At 35.8% G+C, this 18,322-nt stretch overlaps 1 protein-coding gene across 89 annotated transcripts in view; it reads left to right on the plus strand.

Annotated features, from left to right (window-relative positions):
* RIMS1 (regulating synaptic membrane exocytosis 1) overlaps positions 1-18,322 on the plus strand; it is a 516,596-nt gene that overhangs the window by 463,624 nt on the left and 34,650 nt on the right. Inside the window, exon 1 of one of the 89 annotated variants that reach the window (NM_001168411.2) lies at positions 16,573-16,693. The exons of the other annotated variants lie outside the window; for them this stretch is intronic. The gene's annotated coding sequence lies outside the window, so the exon portion shown is untranslated. Of the gene's footprint in view, positions 1-16,572; positions 16,694-18,322 lie in introns of those variants that run through there. 89 annotated transcript variants of the gene reach the window in all.

An 18,322-nucleotide genomic window follows, 5' to 3' on the forward strand; every position in this document is an offset into this window, starting at 1 on the left:
TCTAATTTTTGTACACAGAAAAAAGGAAGGAAAAAAGACTAAATTCAGATATTTTGATGTTGCAGTAAATGTGTTGACCATGATAATAAAGCATATTTTTTCCAGAGCTGCTTGAATTTGCTCTCAGTGCAATTGCAAGTATTGACTTTAATTTCTGAGAGGTTTGTAGCTTCAATGATGAGTCCCTTGGTGCCTAAATCAAAGTGGCTCTGTAATAAGTGAGTTCTGTTGTCTCCTTTCTGCTGATGGCACTGGAGGCAACAGCATGTCTTCTAGAGGCCTCTGTCTGTGCTTTTCTTTTCATATTCAGCATGTCCTAGATTCACTGGCCCAGATAGCACAATACAGCAGGCAGCTTTTTACTCTGTAAATGGCTTAGTGACATTATTTAAAGTAATGCCAGTTGTCTATTCTTTTGTTCTGCTTTTATATTTTCATAGTTGTTACCCATTGCATACCCTTTGGCTGAAGCGTTTGAAAATATCCTATGCCCTTTAGAATTTGGCACTGAGCACTCTTTATGGTACATAAGAAGTAAAAGCATTTATCTTGCCCTGGAGTTATTTACAAGCTCATTTACTAAGTAGTATATCAACAGGCAAAGAGAGATTCTTTCTTTATAGAACTTTAGCTTTTACAAAGCCCTTTCATGCTCACCAGCTCAGAGTGCAAAATTATTGAAAGCTTTTAAAATAAAAGGCTGATCAGATTGGGAAAGATTAGGAATGCATTAACTAAGGAAAGCGTCTGGAAGAAAGTGACTTTTAAAGTAGAATATAAATATCTGCTTTTTATTCCTCAAAGTTTCCATAAATTTTAATATATTCTTAATAATTCACTTTCTTCTCATCTAAAAAATAATTGTGAGAATTAAATACAATTTTAAAGGAGCATAAACATTTCATATTTATATACATGGTATATGAAATGTAATTTTTTAGAGAATTTGTTTTTAGTAACATATCATATTGCATTTATCTTATTTATTCTTAGTTGTATCCTACTCACCTCCCCAAGATGTAAAAAAAAAAAATGCCATTAGCTCTGTTTTAAGCTTTACCTTTGTTCCCACCATTAAATTTTTAGGTCAGCACTGCCTGAAACCAGCAATCATTTCCACTGAACTTAAATGGCTACTGTTTTTATTTTCACTCATCACTGACAGTCATGTTTAGGTGATGTCAAACATTTATTTCATTCATTCCACAGATATTGATCAAGTGCCTAATAATTACTAATAAGAATGGCTAAGAGTTGTTCAGCCCATATTATGTAAACTGGTCCTTTGTAAGGCTTATAATGTGTATTGTCACATTTAACCCTGTCAGCAACCCTATGACATTGATACAAGAGACTGTGACACAGGACCCTGACAATTGGCTGGATTCTTCAAGGAAAACACAGAAGCTGAGAGAAGTTAAGTCACTTAACCATTGTCACACAGCTAGTAAGTGGCAAAGAAATAATTAGAATTTTAGTCTGTGCCTATAGCCTCAGTCCTTAACCACTACACCACATGCCTTCAGTATGTTTAAAATGCTATTATATACTAGTTAAATGTATAATTGCCTGTAAATATCCAGAATCTTCAGTGTCGATGGTGAGCATTTTGTCATTTATAACCAGAAAAATATTTAATTTGGACTTCATTTTTTTACAAGGAGAAAATTATAACATGTATATCTATATAATTTTATACCCTAAGACTAAGCTGAAGCACACCACTATTTTTCATCTTCAGTGATATGCCTCACTTTATTAGTCCCATTTACTTATGAGGAAATTGAAACACAGAGAGGTATGTAACATGCCTGAGTTCACATAGTAAGGGCAGAGCTGGAATTGGAATCCAGCAGTTGGGCTACAGAGTCTGTGCTCTAAATGGGGCATGTCATTGAAGTTGGCCGAGGAGGTGGCACTGTCAGTGAACCTTCTGACTCTGCAAACGTTTTACTGTACAACCATGCCAGCTTCTTGGTAGACTATCTTAAACTGTTCAGAATGTTTCTGTATACTTACAAGAAAACTGGATTCATTTGTTCTGCTTATTTAGCTAATTCACTCATCCACAGGGATAAGCCTAATTGTAGATATTAATGAAGACTGGGTTTATCAGGTACATACAATGAGTCATACTGGCACAATTCTAGCACTCTAAAACAGGTACCATTATTATCATCATTTTATTTAGATAAGGAAACTAAAACTCAGAAAGATTAATTTGCCCAGGATCACATAGCTAATAACTGATAGGCACAGTATTTGTGTGGTAGAATTTATTCTTAGCCATCATACTATTATATCATCCTCAAGTAATTTGATATATTAGCTAACGTAATTCTAGTTTTTATAAAAATTTACCCTAAAAGTATAAAGGCTCACATTTAGTAAAATTCTATTTATTGTTAATTTAATAATTTGAGGCAGATGCTCATGGCAGGCAGTCAACTCTCCTCTGTGCAGTGGTTCAGGTGCCCAGGTTCTTTACATGTTATGCATTTTTGTCATTTGAATCCATATCGCAAAAGTATAAAAGGGAAATGGAGAACATATATCTGACTACTAAAAGCCTTGTTCTAGAAGCATCACACATCATTCCTATTAATGCTCTATTAATGACAGTTAATCACATGGCCAAGCCTAGATGCTGGGGATGGGACCCGAGAAATAAAATCCCTGACTTAGCAACCACTTACTATGAATTCTGTAACTGGAAAGGGGAGAAACCACTAACTGACTGTCACACACACAACTTGAAAAGGCTTTCATTATAAATAATTAAGTCATTTGAGAGTTTACATTCTTTTTTCTTTTTTTTTTTTTTTTTTTTTTTTGAGATGGAGTGTCAATCTTGTTGCCCAGGCTGGAGTGCAATGGCGAGATCTCGGCTCACTGCAACTTCCGTCTCCCGGGTTCAAGTGATTCTCCTGCCTCCTGAGTAGCTGGGATTACAGGCACCCACTACCACGCTCAGCTAGTTTTTTTATTTTTAGTAGAGACGGGGTTTCACCATGTTGGTCAGGCTGGTCTCGAACTCCTGACCTCGGGTGATCCACCAGCCTCAGCCTCCCAAAGTGCTGGGATTACAGGCATGAGCCACCACGTCCGGCTGAGTTTAAATTCTGTTCTAAAGTAAAGTCTGAAAATACTGGTGCTTTCTTATGTTACTGTAAAATTTGTGCACTGACAATGTAATTTGAGAGCCCCTTTATCCGAGTTTCAAAGCCTGTCAGAATCCAAAACTGACCCCACAATTTCTATTCATTCGTCAGTTTTAAAATTTCCTGGCCTCTTTTGACTCTTAGAGTCCAGGTTCCCCTGTTCAATACAACATAGACTGCATAAAGCTTAGCCATTTCCTTGCTTTATAAAACAAAACAGAACAAAAAACGTTTGTTCATGTCCAGGCTTTATGAGTTTAATAGACTTTGATGAAGAAACTGTTAGTCATGGGGGGATTGGAGGGAAGGTGATTGGGAAGTGGTCACGTCACAAAGCACACATTATTTTGCTCTTTTTCTCTCTCTTCTCTCTCACCTCTGATACTCAGTTACTACTTCTGGCTTGTTTATGTCTACAAATAACAGGCATGTACATTTATATATCATTTACTCTTCCAGGTTGTTTTATCAACACTATTTAATCTTTAAAACAAGCCAATGGAATAGGTTCTGCTAACATTTTTCCTGTATACAGTAAGGAAATTAAGGTATAGAGATTAAGTAACTGGGGGTTGGCAGAGCTAGTATTAAAACCCAGGCTTTGGCCGGGCACGGTGGCTCACACCTGTAATCCCAGCAATTTGGGAGGCCGAGGAAGGTGAATCACCTGAGGTCAGGAGTTAGAGACCATCCTGGCCAACATGGTAAAACCCCGTCTCTACTGCAAATACAAAAATTAGCCGGGCGTGGTGGCACGTGCCTGCAATCCCAGCTACTAGGGAGACTGAGGCAGGAGGATCACTTGAACCTGGGAGGCAGAGGTTGCAGTGTGCTGACATCATGCCACTCCACTCCAGCCTGGGCAACAGAGTGAGACTCCGTCTCAATAAATAAATAAACAAACAAACAAATAAATAAAACCCAGGCTTTGCGCCTACATATTCTGTCTTCTTAGCTACTCCATGGGGACAGTTTTCTCACTATGGAAAATTCTAGCTCTTAAGCTAGAACTCTATTTTATTAAATTTACTTCTAACACTAAGCCCAATTTTTTTTAATTTTTGTATGTACATAAAAGGTATATATATTTATGGGATATATGAGATACCAATTTTTAACCTACTCATGTATTTGCTGTAGTTAAAATAATTGTAATGATTACAGAGCACATCTTTAACAAAAAGAAGTAAAATGTGTAATATCTAAAATTTGGAATTGCATACATTTTGTTTCTTAGATGCTCTGTATGCTATGCCCAGTGTTACTTTTTAAGTGAGAGAGTTGCTGTTGATTAACTATAGGAGACTTGATTTATTTCTAATTTTTCCTAGTACTGTTTTGCTATGTAGAATATAAAGATTCTGATGGGTATATTCAGTTTTATTCACCTTGTATTTGTAAACCCATAGAACATCTACCCACATCTAAGTGTAGTTGGCAAACCTCTTTAGTGCTTTAGACCTTTTGGGGTTCTGTTAACATAAGTCTAGGCCAAGAAGTAAGTCTAAACATCACCTGAGGTCTGCCCTGTTGCTACTTTATACATAAAACCCAACTGCCAATGTTAGATTTTACTTTTTTAATTCTTTTTTTTGTGCTCAGTGGCATGTTTAAATATTAAACGCGAGGAATGTTCATAGACCTATATAGCCAAATTGGTGTGGGGAGAACTGTTATGTGTTGTAATAGTGCACCGAAAATGCTATCAACCAATAAGGTAGACAATATCTTAGAAAGGAGAGTGAATACATGCATTTTGTATACTTAACTAAAGTTTTATTTTCTGTTTTTAAACAACAGTTGTGTCACTTAATAATTTTTGACAAAATGAAAATACGGGTTAAAGGGACATACAACTATCTTCTAGTCAATCCATAGTTGATTTTATATTGTCTCTAAACTTTTATATTGTCTCTAAACTTCATCTTTCACTACTTACATAAAAATCCCTGTAAGTATTACAATTTATCATACCCTTAAAAAATAGTTTATTTAGAGGATTTACTTGTATTACAACTAAATCTTAACTTCTCAAAACAAGAAAATATATGTATTTACATACTGTTGTTAGAGCAAAAATAACCTGGAAAATAATAGCATTACAATATATTTGGGGTTGTAAAGATTTTTAAATTATTAAAATTATTGTTCCTTGATTGTTCCTTTTTTCCTTATATCCAAAAGGCGAATTGTGTTATTATTCCTCTTTTGTATGCATAAAGATGGGTGAAAACACCTTTAGAACAAGCAGCTGATTTTTTACACTGAAAAATTGTGCAGCAGTTATGTTATCAGGTTAGAGACTGCCAGTTCGAGATGTTGGATATTTCCACCTCCTATTCTGCATGATATTTTAATAAACATACATGTCTCCCATCTAGTTTCCCAGTGGTTTATTGCTTGGTTAAATGAATCGTTGAGCTCCCTATGAAGTCTTCTGACATGTCTAATTCGATACCTGTCATTTATAACCATCTTTCCTTCCTCCCCCAACAATAACAAAAATATCATAATGAGCATAATAATCAGATTTGCTGATAAAATACACTTTTGACGTTTCTGTGATTACACATAACGACTCCCACTGTTCTCAGAAGATTCTGTTGTTGCGTTCTAGATACTTATTTGGCTTAGACATCTCAAAAAGTACAAAGAATATTGTATATCATCATTGACGTAATTCTTCCACATAATCTGGAAGGTGATTCCAGTCTACTATATTAAGCTTTCCTGTGATACCCCAAACACAGGTTAACATTATATATCCAGTCAGTTGACACAACAATCTCTAAATTATGTCCACTTTATGCTGACAACTGACCTTAACGGTATCTTTAGAACATAATTATTTCCTATCTTTGGAACGTATGAACTAAAAACTACTTTAACTCCAAATCACTAAGCTTCAAGAAGACTTGAAATTCTATGGCTTGCTTTTTGGAATTTGGAAATGTACTGCCAAGGTAAGTTTAAAAAAAAAAAAAATGATGTTCTGTGTTTCTTAAACTCTTCCACTGAAAGGCCTCTAATGGCAAAGGGAAGTAGTGCATATCTCCAGAAAGACAGGGCATAGCCTCAAACAGCAGCTAAAAGAGGAATATTCTTTTAAGTCTTCAATTTTATCTAAAAAATAATGAGATGTGTCCAGGCACGGTGGCTTACACCTGTAATACCTGCACTTTGGGAGTCCGAGGCAGGTGGATCACCTGAGGTCAGGAGTTCAAGACCAGTCTGGCTAACATGATGAAACCCCATCTCTACTAAAAATACAAAAAATTAGCTGGGTGTGGTGGCAGGTACCTGTAATCCCAGCTACTCAGGAGGCTGAGGCAGGAGAATCGCTTGAACCCCAGAGGCAGAGGTTGCAGTGAGCCAAGATTACGCCACTATACTCCAGCCTGGGTGACAAGAGCAAAACTCCGTCTCAAAAAATAATAATAATAAAAAATAAAATAAAATAAAATGAGACTTTAGCCTTCTGCTTATCATATACTAATGTTTACTATAAAAAATTTTCCAAAATATTTTAGTATAAAAGAGCATTCTTCTCTAAATTCTACCTTTATCTTTGAGCTTCAAATATCCTCTGAAACACTGCTTAATTCCTCCTATGAATATAATTCAAAATTTTAAAGCCAGACATACATATCTGTGGGTGAACAGCAAAGATTTTTTATTGCAGCTATAGGATCTGTGACTACAGGATAAAGCACAGCTAAATACCACAGATATCAAACTTCTTTTTACCTGGCACCAAAATTTGTCTAAGCTATTCAGTAATTTGTATTGAGTTCAGTTTAGCCTGTGGGCCAGAGAATAAAGATTATTTTCCATGGAGCCTCTAGAGAAAATATTTCCCATTAACCTTGCAGGTTTGGGGTGGCTTTGATGTTTAATCCTCAACTAGGTTCAGTTGGAGGGTGAGTGGGACCAGCACTTTGGGCTGAAATGTTCTCATAGCAGCCCAAGGGCATCCTGCAATCCACCATCTCTTTACTCAGATGAAGGATCAGTTCTGCTGCTGAGTGGTGCACATACATGAACTGCACCAGCCTCTCATCCTGGGATAGGAATATTTTATGGGTAGAATATTCTAAGGTGTAACAAATAGACTTAGGGGATTGTTCTGTATTTATGTTTACTTGTATTAGAATATGTACCGTACTGAGAGTCAACAGACCTGGATTTCAGGTGCCTCTCTGCCAGAGGCTAGCTATATGACTTTGGCAATTTTCTTTTCACCTTTTCAGCCAGTTTTCTTTGCAGCAGGTTCATGGCATTGGATTCTACAGGGTCTCTAATACTTCCAAGCTCTTCAGTCTATGGTTCTGTAACTTGTTTTTCACAACAGTGACTTTAATCAAATCCTTCTTTACTTGATTTTTACATACATATGATATTCAACATTTAGCACTTCTGTAAGCTTGGAACCAAACTTGCTCATAACCGTATCTCAGTCATAATTCCACTCTGAAATTTTCTGAAATTTGCATTATTGGTAATTGACAATGCTAAAAGTATCACCTAACTTTTTAATTTTCTCTAAAGATAAACATATATTAGGTCTGGTTCTTCATAGAGATTGAGACATCAAAAAATAGCAGTTTCTGAGTGATGCTCAACGTCTTTACATTTCACTTTTATGCAACTATAACTTTCACACATTATACATTGATTTCAAACACAGCTGGTGCCCGTTAGGAAACAATTCATTTTAAACAGTATCACCACCTTGTCTGTACAGCACAGTAGAGTCCCAAAACAATTACTGGATTTATATATGAAATTATTTTTTCCCTTTTGCTGCTCATAGAAGTAAGTAAAGAACAGAAAGAAAAAAAAAAGGTGCTGATAGATTAGAAGCATAGGTACTGTAAAATATAATCCAACAAAATATAATTAAAGACTATGGCCAGGAGTCAAGGTAGATAATGAAAGTGATAGAGAAATCTTTACAATTCTGTTTTTAAGATCATTATTTCTGAAACATTTCAATGAGTATTTTTCTCTTTTTTTAAGTGAGTACTTTTCTCTTTTTTTTAGTGAGTATTTTTCTAATACAAAGTAAAGTTCTCATTTGTATGAGAACTGGAACAAATATTTTGAAGTGGCTGCTGAGATTCCAGAATTACTGGTTAGCAAAGACTGCTTTGATAAATTCAACAGAATTTGTGTTTGCAAAATATTACACTTTCCAGAGATTACGTGGGGACAGAGAAAGAAGACATTTGTTTAAAAATTGTTCTCTGAGATATGAACAAAGAAGGGGAGGCAGTTAAGTTTGTCAAGGAAAAGCATGGGTTTTGAAATACTTATATTCTATTGAAAGGAAGATTTTAAGATAAAAAGATGAGAGAATTAATCAATAGAGCCTTGTCTATTGATTGAAGGCAGGAGGGATCACATCCAGCAAGAGGAAAGACACCTTTTGCATTGTTACAGGAGAGAAAGAGGGAAAGAATAGATGTGGGAAGTTTAGTGGTACAGTGATCTGACACATCAGGCTCCAGCTAACTACCTAGGTGCTACCTAAGTCCATAGGTAGGTCTTCAGATAATACACTGACTGCCCTCAGAGGGCATAACAGAGCCTTAGCCATAAATATCAGATCAGATGAGACATCTTAAACCTCAAAGAGGCCACCTAAGGGTCATTCTTTAATCTCCTATTTATTGTGTTCTCTAGGCTTCATCTTTACTTTTAACTTACATCATTAGAAAGCAATGTTCTGTGTTGAGCAAGTAAATGCAAACCTACCACCAAAGGCCAACAGAGCTGAGAGGCCAAAGAAAGAGGCTAACAAATACAGTTTATCAGAAAGAATTATTAACTAGGGACTTACAAACAGAAGTGATGTCTCAGGTGGCTGCAAGATGGTGGATCCTTGCACCAATCTCCAGAAAGAATTCTTTATATAGCAAGCTTTTAATGTGCTGGTCACATCTTCAGACTTTCTTACCAAATGACCACTGGGGAGATTAGATAAACATCTTCATGATTATCTATGCTGCAGGCATTGTTTAAAGATGTTACTGAGAACACCTTTACATGTGGGAGTCAAACATTGGTTATTAGGGTGGCTTCACTTCAAGATAGAATCGCTCTTGCCATGCAACAGGCTGTTTCCCTAAAAGCAATTTGCTTTTTTTTTTTCTTTAATCCAGAGACTGACCTTTCCAAATATCACAAAGCCAGTTAGGCACGTCTTCAATGACCTGCCTTAATATTGACCATTTCACACTATAATATAAATAGCAAAGCTCATTAAATTAACATATAGCACCCATAGAGTCATCAAAACGTCCCTAGTACAAGAAAATTAATTGACTACTATATTTTGATGTGCATTTCTTTTAACTAAATGTGTAAAATAGCAAGGGTTCCTTTCCAGTTGAAAATCTCCCTTCAAGGGTCATGTGAGAGAAATAACACAACACATAAATCACAAAGTGCATCCCAAGTTTGAGTTTCAAAATACGTTATTATGTTTTAAAGTGATTTCTTCCCATGAGCAGATATCTAAAGAATTATTGTCCAAAATCATGACAACAACCCACCATATAAAATACTTGTTTTACCCAACTCTCTGACAGCATCGTGTACTCTTTTAACTACAGAGACCTTAACATGGAGACTTAAAATGCAATAGTTTTCATAGATTTCTAACACAAGTTGTATAAAATTTATCAGATAAGTTTATTTGCCTTAATTGGAGTGATTGGGCTAAAACAGAAAAATTTACAAGTCAGAGTTTTGTTCACCCTCCAAATTCAAATTGTATAGCCATCTCAAACTGCCAAGCAGAGACTAGTTTCTGCTTACTCACTGAGTGACTCCTGCATTTCATCCCTTCCTCACCATACCTTGAAAAGCAAGAAGTAGCATCTAGCTTTTGTAGTATTTTGATTTGTATCAAATAATAGACTATAAACACCCTCTGAATAATCATAGTTAATGCTAATTACAAGTTTCTATTTTCATAAAATTAATCTATTTATCACATACCTTCTGACCAGAGCACTGTGTCTTTCTGTACAATAGTCTTTCTGTTAGCATCTGCTTTCAAACATATATGGAAATGTTATTACTTGGAATCTGTATTTGTGAGAAAATGCCAAAGGGTCTACAGTACACTGTTATTCAATGGATAAATCTATCATTTCCATTCCTCCCAGGAAACTGAGCAATTTCCACTTTACTTAAAAAGAAACTTAAATAACTTACCAAAAGTCGTATCAGTGCTAGCATTTGGATTTAAATCTAGATTTGCAAAGAGTCTTAATAAAAGGGAAATACATATCTACATGTATATGTGTGTATATGCATACTATATTTATATATTTAATATATTCTATACTATATATGTATACTATATTTTTTTTACTATATATATAAAACTGTGGCTACAGTCCAGCTATCTAAAAAAGATAGGAAAAAAGACGGCGTTTTATTTTTTGTGCGTAGTTCTTTAATACTTAATAAATATTTGACTAAATGCATTCTAATTACAAACAACTCTATTTTCCATAGGTGAGAACATAATAATGGGTATAGTGGATATGTTTCCTAGCCTTAGAAATCCTCTGTTTAAGTGGTAGGTTTTTTTTTTTTTAAAAGTTATTTGGAAACCTTCATATTATTCTCAGGATTTGGATCATGAGATCATGAGATCTTCTTATAAATAAAAGAGAAATTTAGGGAGGTTCCTTTTGTAAAGTGATAACTTTTTGAGTAATCTTCTGTAGGAACGGGTCTTTCTTTCTTTTTTTTTTTTTTTTTTTTTTTTTTTTTTGAGACAGATTCTCACTCTGTTGCCCAGGCTGGAGTACAGTGGCACGACTCAGCTCACTGCAACCACCGTCTCCGGTTCAAGCAATACTCCTGCCTCAGCCTCCCAAGTAGCTGGGATTACAGGCACATGCCGCCACGCCCTGCTTTTTTTTGTATTTTTAGTAGAGACGGGGTTTCACCATGTTGGCCAGGCTGGTCTCGAACTCCTGACTTCAAGTGATCCACCCGCCTCGGCCTCCCAAAGTGCTGGGATTACAGGTGTGAGCCACTGCACCGGCTGCTATTACTTTCTTATTGCTGCTTAATAAATTAACAAAAATCACAAATTTTATATCTTATTCCAGGGGTCAGAAGTCTAAAATGGGTCAAAGTATTTTCAAGTATTTCAAGTATTTTCAAAGTATTTCAACAACACAGTCAAGGCTGTGTTATGAGCTTGGCACAAAAGTAAGTGTGTTTTTTGCAATTATCACCCTTAATTAATTAAGAGTAATTATAAATACCGCGATTGCTTTTGCACCAAATTATTACTTCTGGAGGCTCTAAGAGAGAACTTATTTTCTTGCCTTCCTAGCCTCTAGTGGCTGCCCACATTCCTTGGCTTCTTTTATCATCAAAGCCAGCAATGCTAATGAAGTCTTTCTCACATCACTTCTGCCTCCCTCTTCCTCTTATAAAGACTCTTGTGATTATACTGCCTTCACTCAGATAATCCAGGATAACTTTAACTGTTTGGCAAGCTTAATTCCATCTGCCAGCACAATTCCCCATTGCCATGTAACATAGCATAACATGTTCATAGGTTGTAAACATTAGGACATGAACATCTTTGGAGGACCATTACTGTATTGTATTGTATTGTATTGTATTGTATTGTATTGTATTGTATTGTATTGTAATTTTTTCGCCCAAATTAATGGTTTTATTTCCATCTTTAATGCTAGCAGAGGATTCCAAAGCACACTGATATCCATGGATATAGTTTAAATGTAACAAAGAGTTGTACTATATACACTGAGAAAGGGAAAGGGATTTTTTTTTCATACCAATCTTTCCCTAGGTCACAGTTTCTGAATAGTAGAAACTAAACATATTGTTTTCTTACCAATTTAATTTAGGATGAAGTAGTACAAGTCTGCTAATCAACCACTTAAGTTTTCTTTAAGGATAAAGCATAAAGAAATTTTAAAATGAGTATTACCATATTTATTACTGGACTGGCTCCATGGTTCCCTTGCTCCAAGTCGGGACATCATGGTATGGAGGAGATTATTTTACTTACCAGAGACAGATTTAGGTTTTACAGGGTCGGAATTTTGTGGAAAGCCCTCTTGAAGAAAATGAAGAAATAAAATTATGAATACAAAATTAGACACTAAAATGTATACTTATGTGTAATGAGGGGGGAAGACAACAAAATACAAATTTAAAAAAAAGCAAACTGCATCTCACTTAATCCCAACTAATTTTATCCCCAGTTGTTTAATATACCCATATAGTAGATAAAACAACTGCATGATAAAATGCTTCATTCAGCACTTCTATATCTTTTGACTAAATTAAAAATAAATAGGTAGAACTCTTGTCAAAATTTTGTCTTCAAAGTTTGATTTCTAACCATCTCTTCATCTTTATTCATTTATTTATGTCATTTTCCCTATAGTTCAGTTGTTCAATTCCATGTGTTCTGGGAGTTGTAGCACAGAGAATATAGAATTTGGGACCAGAAGACCTTGGATCAAGTCCCTCCTCATTTGTTCATTCAAAATATATTTATTAAAAATCTGGTACATGCCAGGCACTATGCTGGGCTTAGAGAATACAGTAATAAGCAGGACAGACATGGTCCTTACCCTCATGGATCTTATAATGTAACAAGAAAACAGAAACAGGATGGTCATCTCAAATGCATTAAATGTTATGAAGAGGTATAGGGCCCTGTGAGTGTCCTACACGGGGACTTAACCTAGACTGGTGGCAATGAAGTCTGCTACTTCAGGACCTGAGGGATTAGAAAGGGTGTGCAAGGCAGAAGGGAGTAGTGCAAGGGAAAGAAGAGGACCTCATACAAAAGGAATATTATAGATAATGACCTATGATGGAAAAGGTGAAAGTAATTTTAAGGAAGTAAAAAAAGGTCAAAAAAGTAGAGTATAGGGAGAAAGGGAAAAAGTGGCGCAAAAACATTCTTAAGAGCAAGTTAGGGCCAGCTCCAGTAAGGCTTTGTGACCATGTTTGCAATTTTGGTTTCATCTAAAGTGCAGTAGAATGCCATTGAAGGGTTTTGAGCAAAGATAGTGCATAATTTGATTCGCAGATTTAAAGATTTTCCTGTTTGGAGAATGGGGCTGGGGCAAGAGGAAATGGCAAGAGTGGATTTAAGAAAATGAGTTAGGATGAAGAGAAATATTTGGAGTTGAAATATATAAAGACAAGTTAATTAGCTTCTAAAAAGAATTCTGATATGCATGCCTTTTCATTGACAATGACTCTTTTTTAAAAAATATTATTTATTAAGCACTACTGGAAACATACAAAAAAGATTGAAAGCATACCTCATTGACTGCTTTTGTGCTGAGATTCATTTGGCTTGTTTCTTTAACCAGGGGTTTGCATTTTATTTCAAATTGTATAATGAAAACAGTTTCCCTAAATACAGGCATTTCAGGCATCAACCAACTGGTTAAAGGGATAATTCGGGTATTAAAAAGCTCCTTCTCAAATCACACCAAGATTTCTTTAACTGATTTTAAAGATTATTTGATTTAGTACTTGGTGGTAGTGTGGGGGAGGAAAGGCAACCTCATCCCACACAGCTTCCCGTTCCTGTGGGCTTAAACACTCCAAGACTGCTGATCCCAGAGGCACCATGCCTTCCTCACCAGATTCCATGGAACATGAGGTGTCTTGAGATGAGTCACCTGGCACCAACTCCTCCACTCTGGGCCTTTCCTTTTGCCTTTTCAAGCCTGGCAATAGGCCAAGCCCTCTCTTTTACTTCTATTAAAATAACTCTATTCTGGCTTTCCTGTTTTTCTGCCCTAATATTGCCAGTGACATCACTTGTTTTCTCTGTGGTTTTTGCATATCTTTATCCAGCTTTTTACACTGTTTTGTAAAAGCTTACTGCCCCTTCTGACACATTATAACGAGGAAATGTATCACTGGGATACATTTCTCTGTTGATCAAGATCTAATTACACCTTTAAAAATAGTCAAGATGGATAGCCATATAAAAATTATTCCATAGAGCATGAGTATCTGAAGGAGGCTGTACTCTATGTGCAGTCCCCGCATGCTACCTGTGAAATGTGAATCGTTTATAGTCTGTGGCAAATAAAAGTTATGTCATTCTAATCTTTATAAAATACTAATCAATTGACTAATTCATGAAAAATTCTCTTATCTTTCTCAAATATTGGCTAAACCACATAGTCCTCCAGCCTTACAAAGTAGAGTAAGCTTCTCTTTGGCAACTGTGTTGGTCAGGCTCCCCTAAAAACAGACCCTGAAACAAAGATTTGAGTGCAAGTAGTTTATTTGAGAGTTGATCCCCGGGAAGCACGAGTATTGATTGTGGGGAAATGAGACAGGGAAAGGAAGTCAAAATACGGTGTTTAATTATCAGATTTCTGCTGTAGGCAATTGGGGTTCTATGGGAGACTATGAGAAGTGTTTCCTCTGAGCGTGAGGAAATTGTAGGATTTATCCAACATCTCTCATTTGTCCTTGGCTATGGGACTGCTTGCAGAGTCACTGACTTCTTCAGGCCTGCTTTCCTTATGCTCACAGCTGACTACACAATTGGAAGGAACCCTCAGCAGAGGGTTGGAGGTGCTTCCAGTAAGACAGCATCCTTGCATACAGGAACAGTGAATGTCTACGGGGCATAGCCAGGATACCAATAGCATCTGCTCCCGTAGTTTTCTACCCAGAGTCTCCACCTAATTGTGTGGTTTGGTCTTTGCACAGAGGTGCCCAGCCAGTGAGGGGCTCTAAGGCACAAAAGTGCTCTTTGCCCAACCACAAGTTCTATGAGGTTATTTCATTTCTGATTTGTTCAAATTTGCAGTATGTGCTTGAGGAAGCCATTCTTTTACGTTCTTTCTCTGTGCCTTCTCTTCCCTGCTGGGGTCCTCTGGCAGGATTTTAACACTGTTTATATTCCACCTTTATTCAGGGCACCCAACCATGGCATTCCACATGGATATGGCAGCCTTCTATAAACCCAGATAAATACTCCAAGTTCTGAGAGGCAGATACATTGTTTACCAAGGTACCAGTAGGCTAAACTTTTGAATTACATAGACTTCATCCCTTGCCATTTCAATTTTAATACCAGTCCTGTCAAAATTCCAAAATATCACTTGCAGTTTTGAGGCAGGTTTAGTTTAACTTGTATTGCTCTACCACTTATATGTCTATTGACTATATAATTTAGCATCCAAACTGGAATATCTTTGTAAGTAAAAGAGGGCCACCATTAGTAATATGCTAGAACAGGCATAAACCAGGATTATCCTGGTTAACCATGAAAAATGATCACTCTTGCTGACTTTTACTCCTTCATGCTGTTGACACAGCCCTGGAGGGAAAAAGAGGAAAAACAGAACACTCTAGACTCTAATGTTTTTAATTCCTTAGTGCCATTATGGAGGTGAGGAGGAGCCACACAGAAATATGCTCTTACGGTAAAATCCTGTTGTTTCCATATTCCTTCCATGAACATGATGTTATAAAAAGAGCTTAAAGAGCTTACACACGTTTGAAGAAGACGGGCCTTAGAATTTGGTTGTGTTTTGGAGGGTTTTGTTTTCACTTGTGGTGGTAGCTGTGACACTTACTACTTCTTAACTCTCTGAACCTCTCATGCATGTAAAACATAGCAATACCAATACCAGAGAATTATGATAAGGGTTAATGGAAATGTGTGTAAAGCTCTAAGCATAAGGCATGGTATGTAAAAAGTGCTCAACAGAAGTTAGAACCTTTTTTTTCTAAGTTTTTCTATTTCCAGTGTTCTAGTGTTTTTCTCGTGGCAGTAGGGTGGGACGTGAAACGACACAGGGAAAGCAGCTGAAACCTATCAGTGTTTAATAAGTATATATTGAAAGTGATAATTTTGACAGCTTAAGTGTATTAAATGTGTATTACAAGTGCCAAGTGAGTACAACACAAGAGATCGATATAGAACCTTCCCCTTAATTGTGTAAAAACCTTTTAAACAAACTTATCCTGGAAATCACGTATTAGCCCTGAGCTTTACTTCTCTGAGATTTCTTACCTAATTGGAGAAGCTATATTATATTCAATAAAGTAGGCAACATATTTTCATTTCATTTGATTTAAATGTCTTTGTTACATAGTTTGTTTAAAATGTTGTGACTGTGGCAGTTTTCAAATTGTGGCCCTTTAGCAGTTTTCAAATTTATGACACATGGCAAATTTGCTTAGTGATGTTACACTTCATGGTCTTACAATAAGCTATAGGAAAGAAGCACTCTTGACAGAAGCAATTTAATTATATTCTGTATATGCATGAGAAGGAGAGAGTGTCGGAGGGTGAGGGAGGAGGAGAGAGAATGGGAGAGAGACAGAGAAGACAGTTCACAGGCAGCTCAGACAGATATTCCAGCCAGCCACCGCACAAGTTATTTAAACCAGGTCAAAGCTTCTTTGGCATTCAGTTTTCCCCAGAGAACAATTTAATGCTGATACTTAATTTTTTCAAGATAGACAAGGTAAGTCTATGTTCCTTATATGTATTTACTAAGTTATAAGGGGAGTTTGTTTATTTATAACTTTTCATAAAACCTAGCCAAAAGCCAAATTTCTATATTTGTCTGAAGCTTTCAGTGTTGTTTAACAGTTTTCAAAGGTAGTGTTATACTTCAGATTGCAAATAATTAAATGAAAATGAAAAAACATAAAAATTATGCAGTGGACGAAATAATTAAAAAATGATGTTGCAACAGTAGATTTATTTATAGCATTGTAATATCCAAATATGATTAACTTTAAAGCTAGACTTACAGGATTTTAAAGCTGGATTTGAAGTTGAGCAGTCCTTAAACTCATTACTACCAAAACATAAATCTTAACGGTATCATAAAGTTATATTTTTCTTTAAAACAACTTTATTCTTATTTAAAATTTGTCAGCTATACTGTATACAATATAGCCCTTCTAGGTACAATTCAGTGCAAATATATGAGCATTTCTTTTGGAAATTCAGAAGTATATTTACTTTGCATTTTGAAATTATCAGTCACATTTTCTATTTAGGCTTCCTAAATTTTGCCTTTTATTTTGTTATTTTCAGGCAAGGACCAGGGAAATGTCAGCTTTTAGATCCAAAGGAAACATATGTGTTAATAATTTGATGAAATTTCAAAAATAGATTTATTTTGTGCTTTCAGAAAAAGTGTGGGTAGAAGTATAACCTCATAATTTATTTCTAGAATCATTTTCTTATTCACTGATACTCTGATGTCACAAACAGCCTGGCTGAAATTGAAAGTGTACAGTTGTCACCACTAGAGTTTGAAAAGGACAGTCTTACATACATATATATATTCAAAAACAGTGCTGTTCTCCAAAGACTAAACATATAATCTGTGCAGTACTATCCATATTTATCAGTAACTTCCTTTCTTACTTCTTTCTAAAAGAACTGTCAATCAAAATATGATGGAGAATACTTTTGCAAATGAAGGGTTTCATAGATTATCCAAGAAGAGTCATCTACATGTTGCTTGTGTTTTATTTATATATTTTTTTATATTCTGAGTAATACTTGTATTAAATTAATTCCTAATTTCAATTTTATTTAATAATTACCTTCAGAAGCAGGGCTTATCCGTGGAATAAAGGTATAAATGTACTTAGGATGGCTTTAATACATTTGTAATTTATATTTTTGCCTCCCATAATTCCAATTTAGTTTCATTCATTTGTCTTAAAAGGAATCTTAACATCTATTTGGTTTTATGCCATCATTATGCTTAACCAACTGCATAAAATGTCCTCTTATTTCTTATCTGTGCTTGTTATAATATTTATAGGCAGCAAGAAATTATTTTTCTACCTAAGTAAAAAAGTTTCTTTTTTCCCCCTTATGTTATAAACTTGGTGTAAGACCAACAGTACAGAATCAGTGTTGTCTGATTTTTTTTTTTTTTTTTTTTTTTTTTTGAGACAGAGTCTCGCTCTGTCACCCAGGCTGGAGTGCAGTGGCGCAATCTCGGCTCACTGTAAGCTCCGCCTCACAGGTTCACGCCATTCTCCTGCCTCAGCCTCCCGAGTAGCTGGGACTACCACGCCCAGATAATTTTTTTTTTTTCTATTTTTAGTAGAGAAGGGATTTCACC

This window comes from Homo sapiens, chromosome 6 (genome assembly GCF_000001405.40).
Source record: "Homo sapiens chromosome 6, GRCh38.p14 Primary Assembly".
NCBI lineage: Eukaryota > Metazoa > Chordata > Mammalia > Primates > Hominidae > Homo > Homo sapiens.